This window comes from Homo sapiens, chromosome 13, assembly GCF_000001405.40.
Source record: "Homo sapiens chromosome 13, GRCh38.p14 Primary Assembly".
Lineage (NCBI taxonomy): Eukaryota > Metazoa > Chordata > Mammalia > Primates > Hominidae > Homo > Homo sapiens.
Window position 1 is genome coordinate 89,980,824 of NC_000013.11, and position 14,681 is coordinate 89,995,504.

The 14,681-nt window shown below is 34.9% G+C and overlaps 1 pseudogene; it reads left to right on the forward strand.

Annotated features, from left to right (window-relative positions):
* On the forward strand, positions 10,521–12,074 carry PEX12P1 (peroxisomal biogenesis factor 12 pseudogene 1; annotated as a pseudogene).

The window sequence follows — 14,681 nt, forward strand, 5'->3', positions numbered from 1 at the left end:
TTTAACACATAATGTATAACATCTAAATAAATCTCAGAAAAAAACCATTAAAATTAACTACAGTATTTTATTAGCATTGACCCATATTTCCTTTATTTGCCAAGAAATTAAATCAGGCTAGACTCACTCACATTAAATGTCAGACAGCAATGTGATAGCATCTTTTGAATACTAAAAGAATTCTAAAGTAAGAATGTTATACTCAGGGGAATAGTCACCCATGTAGAAAATCAAACACAAGGCATTTCCAAATAAACAGAAAGTCAGATAATGTACTGTTCTTGATCACTTTCATTTCTTCTTCCTGTTGCACACACATACAAAGTGTTAAGTAACTTGCAACCAAGAGATAAATACATCCAAACAAATGATAAAGTGAAAACACAATGATAAAGTACACTTTAAATCACTTGTCTTAGGAAAGAAGATATGGAGTGTCTAACATTTAGTAAACATGATAGTTATCTAACACTTCAAATTGTATTGAAAGGTATTTGGAAATTCCAAAAACCTAAAGATATCCTTATACTATCGAGGAGAAAATAAAAAAATACTCCTCTTGTTTGAGAAGAACAGTTAATCTTAAATGTGTGTTTTACACATGTAGCAATGATAAAATTAAAAACATTATGTATAATGATAATTTCTGAGGAAATAAAAGCAGAACAATATAGTCTAAACAATAAAAAGCACACAAAATAAATTTATTTTTAGAACTAAATAAATGACACAGGAAAAAAGACCACTATGAGAACAAAAAATCATGTGTTCTGAAACTTATACATTTAAAAAATATATATAGTAGTGTAAAACTGGTCTAATCACATTTTTTATAGAATAAATAAATTTAAAACAAAATGTGTTAATATTTTTAATAAAGAAAATGAGCATATGTCAGGCATTCTAAATAAAACTTAACATTTTCAACAAGAGATGTGTACATAAATATTCATGGCTGCCTTGTTTGTAACATTAGAAAGAAAAAAGACGTCATCCAAACTTCCATTAAAAAAAGAATGACTATATTTACTATGGTGCAATTAAGCAAGAAAATACTATATATATATATTTTAAAGTAAAGGTAAATGGGCCGGGCACAGTGGCTCATACCTGTAATCTCAGCACTTTGGGAGGCCGAGGCGGGCGCATCACGAGATCAGGAGATTGAGATCATTCTGGCCAACATGGTGAAACCCCATCTCTAATAAAATACAAAAAAAAAAAATTAGCTGAGCGTGGTGGCAGGTGCCCATAGTCCCAGCTACTCAGGAGGCTGAGGCAGAAGAATCGCTTGAACCCGGGAGGCAGAGGTTGCAGTGAGCCGAGGTCGTGCCACTGTACTCCAGCCTGGCAACAGAGTGAGACTCCATCTTAAAAAAAAAAAAAAAATTACTCAAATTATAAGGTATCTGAGTCCCAGACACCTCTTTTTATTGCTGAAGCATATTATAATTATGCAATATATCGGTCTTGGTGTATTAGAAATACTACGCCATATTTTCCACTGTATTCTAAGTCAAGAGTTAGAGTGGGACTCCATATGATGCAAGATAAACAAACCTCTTCTTGATTAAACCCATTCTGAGGGGCTAATTCTTCCCTTCTGTTGTATGAAATTAAAGGAATTTCTTGTGACTTTAGTAGTTACTCAACAAAATGACAACATAGCCGTTTCTGCAGTTACTTTCAGTCTCACAAAAGATTATGTAATCAAAAATTAAATTATCCTGTGTAATAGTGAAACTCGAAGTTTCATTTAAAGATTCCTCATTTCACTGACTTGGCCTTATATGAGGCTGGAGATCCAATTTGGAAATGGACATTTGGTAGACTTTTTCATCCCCCACATTGCTCTCCTACTTTTCTCCTTTGCTTATTAATCATGGCGTTTGACCTCCCAGGGAAAACAGCCGGGAGGAAGTTAGAAAATATGTTTAAAGGGCAAAAACATTTTCACTTGCTTGGTTGCATAATGATTTGATTTTGGATCTCTTGGGGCTTGGAATCTGGCCAAAGATTACTCTATAGTAAGGTACATTTTAAGTTTCTTAACTTTAAGACATGCCAGCTCAAAGAATGTCTAAATTTAGTTTTCCAGACTGAGGCAATGCATTCACTTGGGCTGACTGCTTATGAATTTCTCAGTGCCTGGACTTCCAGATGTCCACCCTGTTGTTGACATTATGTAATTCCTCCAGATAGTATTTCTAAGGAGCATTTTAAATGGTCTCAGCTTGGCTCTCTTTTTGCATAGCACGTATCTGGTACAATCCAAATTTATGTATGTGTAGCTAGCTCCCAATGAAGTATTTTCTCTCTCCTGTTTAGCCATCTCAGGTAGATAGCAAAACCTCAGGCTAATCGTATGTGAAATAGACAGTGTCCACTGTACCCAGATTCAAAGAGGATATGTCAGTGTGAGGAGGTATTTTTATCCACTCCTTCCACTAAAAAATGGGAAGAAAAATGATAGGAAACTTCTCACGTTTCCTTCCAAATATATTTTCTTCTCTATTCTTTACCTTAAAAATAAATAAAAACAAATTTACCTTTTCTTTCCTAATGCTCTAAAGAAAACCTAGGGGCTCAGTTTAGAATATGGAACACTTGCCACATATCATTGGCAGAATCACTGGAAGACATGTCGTTGGAAGAATCAATGATTCTTCCCCAATCATTTGAAGTCTAGTTAACTCCATTCTTCTAAACTCTAAATTGCTTTTCCTGCTTTTCCTGTTTTCTTTCTCTTTCTTTCTTTCTTTCCTTCCTTCCTTCCTTCCTTCTTTCTTTTCTTCCTTTCTCTCTCTTTCTTTTCTCTCTCTTTCCCTCCCTCCCTCCCTCCCTCCCTCCCTCCTTCCTTCCTTCCTTCCTTCCTTCCTTTCTCTTTCTTTCTTTCTTTCTTTCTTTCTTTCTTTCTTTCTTTCTTTCTTTCTTTCTTTCTTTCTTTCTTTCTCTCTCTCTCTCTCTCTCTCTTTCTTTCTTTCTTTTCTTGTCTTGCTCTGTCACCTAGGCTGAAGTGCAGTGGTGCAATCACAGCCAACTACAGCCTTGACCTCCTGGGACCTCCTGGGCTCACGTGATCCTTTCACCTCAGGCTCCCAGGGTGGCGGCGACTACAGGCGCATGCCACTATGCCTGGGTAAATTTTTTATTTCTTTTTTTAAAGATGGGGTTTCACCATGTTTCCCCAATCCACCTGCCTGGGAATTACAGGCATGCTGGAAAGGTGCTAGAATTACAGATGTGAGCCACCACACCTAGCCAACTCTAATTCGTAATGTAAACCAGCGCTCGTCTTGTTAATAATTATTTGTGTAGCTCCTTGTATGATTTTTGAGAAAGTACTTGCTGTATAGTAGTCACTTTAAAAAATACTAGTTTTTATTATCCATATAGATAAAAATTAATCAGATATTTAAAATAATTTAGTAGTGTATTGGCAGAAGCTTTACCAAGCCAATATATTTCTCATATAAATTTTTCATAGAAATACAAGTAATAATTATATTTAAGGATTATATAAATGTGGTCTATCATAAAATACAAAAATTAGAAAATTTAAAAATGGGATTAAAAGCATTTGATAAAATACAACATATGTTTTTTAAAATCCTTGGAAATTGAAAAAATAAACATTAAAATATATCAATATTAATTCAATTAAAATATGAAATGCTAAGGTGATTATGTTAAAACATGAAATGAAAGAGAATGGTCATAGATATATAATGATCATAAAATATACATGATATGGAAATCCATTGGAATGCCCATAGAAGTAATACATTTCCAATTGCATGATTTGACAAAAATAAGCCAAAATACAGAGGTTTATGACATAGTTAAAATGAAGAGAACTCTTTTAAAAGTATTTTTATCACTAAATAACCAAAATAGAATACTTCAGAAACAGCCAAAGAAAAAATATATTTGATAGAGGTGATTGATAATACCAAAACTTACCAAGGATTATAATATATCAATTTAATAATGAGTAAGAGACAGTATTTCTGAGAGGTAATTCTGAAAATGGTAGAAACAATATGTTTACAAATTGTCATGGTTAGAATTTTTTTTTTTTTTTTTTTTTTTGAGACGGAGTCTTGCTCTGTCTCCAGGCTGGAGTGCAGTGGCACCATCTCAGCTCACTGCAACCTATGCCTCCCAGGTTCAAGCTATTCCCCTGCCTCAGCCACCCGAGTAGCTGGGATTACAGGCACACACCACCACGCCCGGCTAATTTTTTGTATTTTAGTAGAGACGGGGTTTCACCATGTTGGCCAAGATGGTCTCAATCTCCTGAGCTTGTGATCCGCCCACCTCGGCCTCCCAAAGTGCTAGGATTGCAGGCGAGAACCAGTGAGCCCAGCCATAGTTAGAAATTTTAAGCTAAATCCCAGTTGTAGCTTTTGAAGCTTAAACGCATGCATATTAAACTCATATTACCATGTAAAAAATAGTAATCAAGAAACATATTTTTGAAAAAAAAGGTTTTTACCAGTTGCAACTAAAATAATTAAAACATTATTACACCAAATAGGGATGTGTAGTCTCAACAGTAAATCAGAATAGATAAGATAACCTAAAATAAATGTAAAAATTGGTTATTTATAAAACAAAGAAACAAACAAAAATTAGAAACAAAAAAGCTCTTAAACCTGGCAAAATTATTTTTCACTTTTTGGCCTAAGGGTGAATATAAGATATTCTTTATAAAATGTTTAGATATTTTATATTTGGTATCTATATAAGATATGTAATATATAATATATAATAATATATTATCATTAATAGTAATAATATTAATTATAGATAATATATGGAATATATAAGATATTCTTTATAAAGTGTTCAGACATTTGGCATTGCCATGGTTCTGAATTTGCTGATGTGCCAAAACAAATATAGTTACTTTGGCTGTTACATAAATTAAGAAATGATATTTTTATTTTTATATGTATGCTGTTTGTCCAAATTTTTATCAAATCTTTTTTGATAATATCGTCTTATGTTTAAGTTATAATAACTTCTCTTTGGCAATAGAGATAAATTTAACATTCTAAAATTAAAACACTTGTTCAATTTATTATCAAAATGGGTAATTCTTTACAAAGTAGGATGGAAGATTTTTTTAAGATGGGCTTACCTGTTTCTTCAATGGAATATGACTGAAGACAAATTCCCAAGTTTATAAAATTAGAGTGCACTTCATATAAAAAAGGAAATGACTCCAAAATTTTAATCTTGTAGTAAATCAACATTAAATATTGAATTTCACAACACATACTTATAACCAAGTTGCAATGGACTGAATGTACCCCCGTCTCCCCAAATTCATATGTTGAAACCCTAATCCCAGTATGATAGTATTTGGAGGTGAGGTTCTTAGGAAGTGATCAAGTCATGAGAGTGGAGTATTCGTGAATGGAATTAATGCCCTTATGAAAGGAAACCAGAGAGTAAACTGGCTCTTTCTGCCATTTGAGGACACAGGAAGAAGTTTTATAAACTAGAACTGGGTCCTCACCAAGAACCTTGACACTGCTGACACTCTAACTTCCAATGTCCAGAAATATGAGAAAAAAAAGTTTGTTGTTTAAGCCACCCAGATTCTAGTATGTTATTATAATAGCCTGAGCTTACTAAGACAAAGTGGAAGACTAATATAGAAGGGACATTTTTCAAAGCTTGAAACATTTCTCATTTCTTTGTCTTCTTGGTAATTATTTTCTAATTAGTTTTTATGGACTTTACTTTTATTATAATAGAGCAGTTTTCCCTTAAGGCCTATATGAATTATATATGACTTAAATATAGAAGTATATAAACACAAGCAAAATTTTGGAAGAGCAAAATTGTAGGAATAAAAATTAAGTATTGGAGACTGAAATTTCTTTCTTCTTTCGGTTTATAGTTCAATAGGTAATCCTGGAGAGGCTACTTTAACAATAGGTGGACACTATATTTTTAAAATAACCTTTAATGATAATTGTAAAAAATTTTTGAAAATCTTAATATCCCAAATAATGCATATTTAAGCTCTTTTTGCCCCCGAGCTTCATTAGCAAAACTGTACTCCAAAAATAGAGAAAAGTTAAAAATTTGGACATATGCTGAGTTCATAACCTAGGTCACATGAAAGAGCAGGACTAGGATAGAAGGCCTGGCAAAAATTATATTAGAAGAATTTTTAGGTTTGTCCCTGGGCTTAGAAATGAGCCTAAACTTGTTGTTGCTTTTATTTATTTATTTTTTGTTTATTTATGTATTTATTACATATTGCTACATTTGTTTGAGAGACTGAATCAAAATGCAAATTTGTCCCTAAGAAGCAGTGGCTTAAAATAATACAAATCACAATTCTCTTTTATGCTGCTTTGCGCAGTATTAACTTTTATGCAATTCAGTTCAAAAGTCAGAAACTTATGTGAGTTCTGTTGCTTCTTAATAACATTTGCTATTATTACCTTTTTGATTTTTCTATATACTCAATATCATACTTCAATAACAACTTATGCTAGTTTCAAGGTAAAAAATACTATATATGATCCTCAAACTATTAAATATGCATTATCAATTTTAAATACTTCTTCTTTGAAGATATTAAGGCTCAAAAAAATTAAAGAAGTTTCCAAAATGGAAGACTTAGGATAAACATGTGTGTTTCTACCGCAATGTATATCTGCCTTCTGTTATGTATAATTTTCTTCTTCAAAATGCTGCTGTGTACATTATTTAACTAGAAATGTTTTAGCAATGGTTACTTAATCTACCTGCTTAGGTATAGCTCCTTTAAAAAGTCAGTATTTTTAAAATTTGAGACTTTATAAAACCACTATTTTTCACTGAGGATTATGACAAACTTGAAATACAGCATATACAGTTAAACAGCTTGACACTAACAGCTTACATAATCAGATATAATAACAGTGTAATAAAAAACAGTCTTCACATGTTTTATAAATTAAGTGTAGTTTGGAAAATTTCTGCTACATTCCTTGCTGCCCATTATTTGTTTACTCTGTTTTGTATCTCTCCTGGTTTCTCCACTAGTCTTGCATCAAAGTCAATTATTTTCAATGTTACAGTTTTCCTTTTATCCCTATTGAGAGTTTATAGGCCAGGACCTTTACAAATTTTTTTTTGTAAGTTTTGCTATGTATTTTGTTATTTCTATTACCTCATATATACAAATGCAAGAGGTCTGTTTCTTCTTTACTGAATTATCTTCACATTTGCTGCTTATTTCAGAGCTTTTCTGATGGAAGAAATTTGCTTCCCATGCTTTTGTAAGAAACATATTGACTGCTATATAGAACTGCTTATTTTTTTTTATTCTACAGGTAATTCTTATTTCTTAAGAAATGCCACTTTCAGCAGGAGCAGCAAAGTGAAAAATTATCCCTTTGCTACCTCTCAGTAATATTGTTTAAGTTTATTTTGTCAATTTATCTTTGATTTCCCCTTCTTGTATTTCACCGGCCTGAAATACACCCAGAAATGTCCTTTCCACCCATACAAATTCTTCTCTGCCATCGAATTACAACTCAGATACGTCAATTTTTGGAACAAGCAGTTCCTCAGCCCTTGAACTTGAATAGAGCTCTTCATCTTATAAATGCCAGAGGAATTACTTTCAGACTAATTCATGTGGAATTGATTCTTGGGAAATGTCTTTTGTTCACATTTTGCTATTGTTTTGATATAATTTATCTCCCGGACTGTTCTTTAATTTTGTATATTTGTCTTGTTTCTATAGGGGGATGATGTTTTCTTTTCTGTCTGAACAGAAAAGATTCAGTTCTGTAGTCTTTGGAATCAAACAGCACTTTGCCTTTTAAAATCATTTGTCTTATAATATTTATGGACTATGTTTTGGGTACCTGAAATGTGACTCAAGGAAAAGGACTTTTTTTTTTTTTGGGACAGATTCTCACTCTGTCACTCTGGAGTGCAGCGGCGCAATCTCGGCTCACTGCAACCTCTACCTCTTGAGTTCAAACAATTCTCCTGTCTCAGCCTCCCGAGTAGCTGGGATTAGAGGTACACACCACCATGCCTGGCTAATTTTCTTTATTTTTTTTCTTTTTTTTTTTTTGAGATGGAGTCTTGCTCTGTCGCCCAGGCTGGAGTGCAGTGGCGTGATCTCAGCTCACTACAAGCTCTGCCTCTTGGGTTTATGCCATTCTCCTGCCTCAGCCTCCCAAGTAGCTGGGACTGCAGGCACCCAGCTAATTTTTTGTATTTTTAGTAGAGATGGGGATTCACCATGTTAGCCAGGATGGTCTCGATCTCCTGACCTCGTGATCCGCCCGCCTTGGCCTCCCAAAGAGCTGGGATTACAGGTGTGAGCCACCACACCCATCCCTAATTTTTGTATTTTTAGTAGAGATGGGGTTTCACCATATTGGTCAGGCTGGTCTCAAACTCCTAACCTCAGATGATCCACCTACCTCGGCCTCCCAAAGTGCTGGGATTATAGGCGTGAGCCACCGCGCCCTGCCGCATCAGGACTTTTTGCATGTGTTCTCTGAAGTAATCACAATTAAAATTACATGATCAACAGTATATTCATGTTTTCTATCTAGCTTCCCAAATTTTGTAAGCCAAACATGGGGGTAGTATCTTTCATTTATCACTGTAATGTCAGTGCCTAGACTGTACATGATGCGTAACTACCAATATCTGTTGCATGTACAAAGGTAATAATACTGGAAGCTTAATAAACATTTCCTGAGGGTGAAAAATGGGAAAAACTACATATAGAGAAAAAGAGAAAAAGTAACAAGTTAAATATATTTTTGAAGTTCATATTCTTAATGAGGAAATTTAGTCTTCATCTGGGAGAAAAATATTTTCTAAATATTACATAATCTAACAACTATTAAAATATCTTGGTAACATATTAGAGATGGGTAGAGCTAAAAGCAACTCATCTGGATGGAAAGAAAATACACTAGTCCAAAAAAGATATGCTGTAGGTTTTGCTGAAAGTATATATATATATATATATATATATATATATATATATAGTAAACAGAAAATTAAAATCAATGTAAGTTAGTAAAAAAATAAAAATTGGGTATTATTTTGCTTAAAATTTGAGTACTATTTTCTTGTGATAGTTTGCATAAGGCTTTCTTTTAGTTTTTGCAGACATAGAACACCTTCAGGTAGTTTAGATTAGTTTTCTAATCTACTAAAATTTTTCAATGCTGAAAAGAAAATCCCCACATTTTAATTTAGCAATGTATTTTGTGACAAACTCAACTTTTTGTTATATTTATAGAAGAGGTAAATAAATTGAACTATGAGCTAAAAATCTTAAATTATTATTCAGTTATAAGTTGGCTTTAATTGGTTGATTGCTTTCATACTTGTATTTAGTAGAAGACACTGTTGTTGTATTTTGAATGCAAGCATTGTTGATGATATAAAAGGCCACATTGCTTTTTACCATATTTTGCAATATTTTTGTGTTATTCAAAATAATACATGAAAGGCAAAGCTAAATGAATTCAGGAATTAAAATATATGACTAAATGGGTTTTGTACTTATAATTTGTACCCCATCTTTATAAAAATTGTGATAAATACTGAAATATATACAATTAAAGGAGAAACAGTCACTCTTCAGGAAAATGTAATAAAGTATCTTTACATTTCTGAAAAGTATAATATGAAAGGTGAAGCTTCATGTTCAGGCCCCAGGCTAACTTCCTTTGAGTTTGAGAAGGGTCAAAGTGTACAAGAGGATGAAAAGAAAGGGCACTCCAACTGTGAGAGGAAAGCATGAACAGCAGCGGTAACACAAGGAACAGTCAGGATTAGCTAGTGTCTGCGATGTGAGCACTGATGAACATGTGACCAGAAATGTTTAAAATATCATAACTATTTGCTTGGTGAGATTTATATTACTGTGGCTCTATGATACTTTGTTATTTGCCTCATTTAAATGCAAAAAGGTCAAAATATCTCTTTTTGCTTGAGAAAGAAGAAAACCCACTCCATATAATATATAAATATTGGCCATGCACGATGGCTCACACCTGTAATCCCAGCACTTTGGGAGGCTGAGGTGGGCGGATCACTTTAGGTCAGGAGTTCAAGACCAGCCTGGGCAACATGGCCAAACCCCGTCTCTACTGAAAATACAAGAATTAGGCAGGTGTAGTTGTGCAAACCTCTAGTCCTAGCTACTTGGGAGGCTGAGGCATGAGAATTGTTTGAGTCCAGGAGGCAGAGGTTGCAGTGAGCCAAGCTTGCGCCACTGGACTCTAGCCTGAATGATAGAGCAAGACTTTGTCTCAAAAAATGTTTTTTATATATTTATATATATATAAAAAGTATAACATGTTATATATAAATAATATATAATATAGAAATACATAACATGCATATATAAATAATATATATAATGTTATATATGTTATATATAACATGCATATATATAATAAAATATATAACATGTTATATATGTTATATATAAAACATGTTTTTATATGTATATATTATTTGTTCCTCATCTGGGGTCAGTGAGCAAGAGTGGGCACTGGTGGGGATACTCAAAGCAGACAGCTGCAGCCAGTCCTTGTGTCTGGGACTCACACTGGCACTTCTGAATCCTCAGAATCCGCTGGCTTTTGAGCTCTCATTTTTGGTGGTGGGGGTGGGATTCCTGGTTTGCAGGTCCAGGGGATCGTGCTCCTTCCCTGACACATGTCCCACACAGCCACGTTCTGCCCTGAGATGCAGCATTTGATAACTTACCCCCTTACCACATACCACTTCCACCCACGTCCGAGTCAACTTTGTTCTTAACCTCCTTGAGACTCCGTCTGCCTCGAGAACAGATCTTTTTTTTCCCAGTTCATTGAGTTTGGAGTTTTGGATACCATGCAGAAAGTTTACCTTTAAGACTGAGCACCATTTTGATACCCTTCCTCCCCAAAACGTTCATGCTCACGAGTTTGTGGGAAAAGTGAAAGCCAGTACCCACAGAAAACTATGGCTGAACACAGGCTCACATCACGACTGCTTCTGTGGCTGTTGACCAGCCATCCATCTTTGCGGTAGTAGCACAAGACAGTTTAATGACAGCAGTGAGACTTGCTCTTCAGCATGTGTTCAAGGTTCTTGCAGAATCACATCCCACCCACTATGGCTTCTTGTGGAGGTGGTTTGATGAAATCTTTGCTACATCTTCTGCTCCAGCAGTATTATCTGTCTACAACCAGTGCCTCATTTTCTGAAAACTTTTGTGGCTTGAAGAGCATAGTAATGGGGGACACTCACAAGTGTCACAGATTGGCTAGTGCTGGTCTCCTAAAGGAGCAGCTTTGGAAATCAATTATGTCCCTGGTTCTTCTTTTCTATCTGAAAGTGAAGCTGGAGAAGCTGGTTTCTAGCTGAGAGAAGAGGATGAATATTCTATTCATCCCCCTTCTTCCAACTGGAAATGATTTTACAGACCCTTCCTGGCAGCCTACCCATTTGTTAACATGGCCTGGGAAGGATGGTTTCTTGTACAGCTTCGATACATCCTAGGAAAATCTCAGCATCACTCACCACTGCTGAAGCTGGCTGGAGTTCAGCTAGGTCAACTGACAGTTGAGGATATACAAGCTCTGGAGCATAGACCAGCTGAAGCCAGCATGATACAGCAACCAGCCAGAAGTGTTAGTGAGAAGATGAAGTCAGCTCTGAAGAAAGCTGTGAGGGATGTTGCCTTTTCCCTGTCTACTGGCCTTTCTGTCAGTGCATTCTTCTTGCAGTTCCTTGACTGGTGGTGCTCATCTGAAAACCAAGAAACCATCAAGTCATTGACCGCCCCGCCTACTCCACCACCACCTGTCCACCTAGACTATAACTCTGATTGTTCCCTTACCCAAAATGCAGACTGTGTGCCCCTTGTGTTGTAAAACCCAGGTGAATGATACTGTTCTTGCCACTTTTAGCTATGTGTTTCATTACGGCTGTGTGTTTCATTATATGAGGAGTCACCAAGCTTGTCCCATTACAGGTTATCCAACAGAAGTACATCTGATTAAATTCTACTCCCCTGAGAACTGAAAAACAAAATTACATAAAATACTTTATGAAGGAACAAAATAATTACTGGATTTCAGATTTCAAATGAAATATTTCTGGTCAAATTATTGTATTAATACAAGATAATCACAGTTGTTTGCCTTTTAGTGACTGGAATACAGGGAATTGGTTAGACTTTTGTTTGAAAGCAGAAAGCAAGATAGATGATTGAAACAGTAAGCAGCTACCATCCACTGAGCAGCAACAGAAATGAGAAAGTGAGGTCACCAAATATTAGTGTTTGGAGAAAGGGTCCCATTGTCCTATGTCCTGGATTCAGCCCACTGAAGAGGCAGAGCTGGCCCACACTGTGGTCTCTCTGATGAAGTTCAACATATCTGATAATTGAATTGCAAAACACAGTGAAAAAACACCAAACAAACCTGGAAGCTAGGGAAATGCTGACAGACCTAAAACCAAGAAGAAATAAGGCCTTTTATTCCCTCTCCTTGCCTTCAAATATCTGAACAATGCTTTGTGAGGACAGAACCTCGGCACACTAACCAGCAAAATAGTCTGAGAATAGGGTACTCGAACTCCGTTCCTACCATGAAAGAGCAGAGAATTCAGGGTGGAACTGTTGCTGAGAGGCAATAGGTAAATAATCAATACAACACATATTTAATGATTACAAAATGGTGTGGGTTATGGGCTAACATATTTGGCATTAAGTATGTTCAAATGGAATTTGTTTGCCCCTTAGAATTTCCAAGTAATGCAAAAATATTTTAGTCCAGGAATTTCTGCCACTTAGCTTGTAAAGCTTCTATAAGCCTCAATTTCTTTAAAATGAGAATCTGTCATAATCCTTTGTGTTTCTAAGATTCTATAATTCTCACATCTTTATCAGTAAACTACTTTATATAATTTTTTTAATGTAGGTAAATCCATTTTATGGGTAAAACAAAGACAAAATCAAAGCGTAGTGTCCAGGAAATAGACTTGATTGCGGTTTTACAGGCATGCATTCTATTCCTGGCTGCAGCAGTATCAATAATTAGAAGTTAAGGCAACTAATTAACTTCTGTGACAATCAATCATGCCATCTAAAAATAATTAACAGAAATAACTACCTTGCAAGTATATTATAAAATTAGATATAAAAGACTGAAATCTTTCTTGAAACATAGCAAGAGTGTAATAAAAAAACTGCAATAGTGATTTGGCAGTGATGTTAAGATTATGTTGATTTAACCCCAAGGCTATGCAAGTTGTAAGGCAACAAAACAATATTACAACCAAATTATTTAACCCTTATAGGCATAATATTGATAAAATTATTAATGTGTAGTATCCATAACACATGAAAATGTCTAGAGCAGCATTTCTAATCATCTTGTCTCATAGAAATATTGTAAAATGATGACAATGTGTACTGTTCATATGGGTTTTTATATGATGATTTGAAGTAACTCAGTTACTGCTGATTTATATCTCTAAACTAATATTTTACAACTTAGTTCAATATTGTATTATTTATCATTTAATTACATATCCCTGACTTAAGCAAAACTTACTAACCCAAAATGGTTATGCAACTCAGTGTCCTGAAATTATGATCGCTTAGTTCATCAACCATGTCTTGATAATATTTAATATTTTTTATGCACGTTTAAAATGAAATTATGAAAATTCAGTTACTGACAAAGACATGTACAGCCATTTACAGACTATTTTGCACATATCTATAAACATCCATTTATTACATAATTATTCAAAACAGTTCCTATGTGTCTGATGCTGTGTTAGGGGTACCTACTTGAAAGATTAAACATTAGCTCCCATAAGAAGCACAGAATGTATTAGAGATAAATGCCAGTCATCCTATAATATAAAATATTCAATGATACAGGGATATTACAAAAGAATGAAAGGAGCACATTTGTCAATTTGACTCATGGGAGAGTTCACAATGTAGGGAAAGCATGCAAATTAGCAGGGGTATTGTGATAAAGGTAGTTTATAGATGTGGCTCATACCTGCAGTCACTTGCCTTTACATAAAGGCACTTACTCCGTTTAATCTTCTTCGATCTCGTCTAATCAGAAGGCCTTAGAGCAAAATCAGATTTCCCTGAGAAACAAATTCTACTATGTATCTCCTAGTTAATTCTAGTGATTCTATTTCTCTGGAGAACTCTGACTGACACAAAATCACTCCCAAACACTTAGATATATTTTTCAAAAACAGGGATATTTTCTTACATAACACTACTAAACCATCAAACTCAGGAAATTGATATTGATACATTACTCTCATCTAACCTTCAGAACACTTTCAGGATTCAGGCTGGGCATGGTGGCTCACACCTGGAATCCCAGCAGTTTGGGAGGCTGAGGCAGGAGGATTGCTTGAGTCCAAGAGTTTGGGACCAGCCTGGGCAACATAGCAAGACCCAATCTCTACAAAAAATAAAAATAAATTAGCTAGATGTGATGGCACATCTGTAGTCCCAGCTACTTGGTAGGCTGAGACAGGAGGATCCCTTGAGCCCAGGAAGTCAAAGCTACGGTGAACCTTGATCAAGCCTGGGTTGACAGGGTGACCCTGTCACAAACAAACAAACAAAAAATATATCAATAATACCTGCT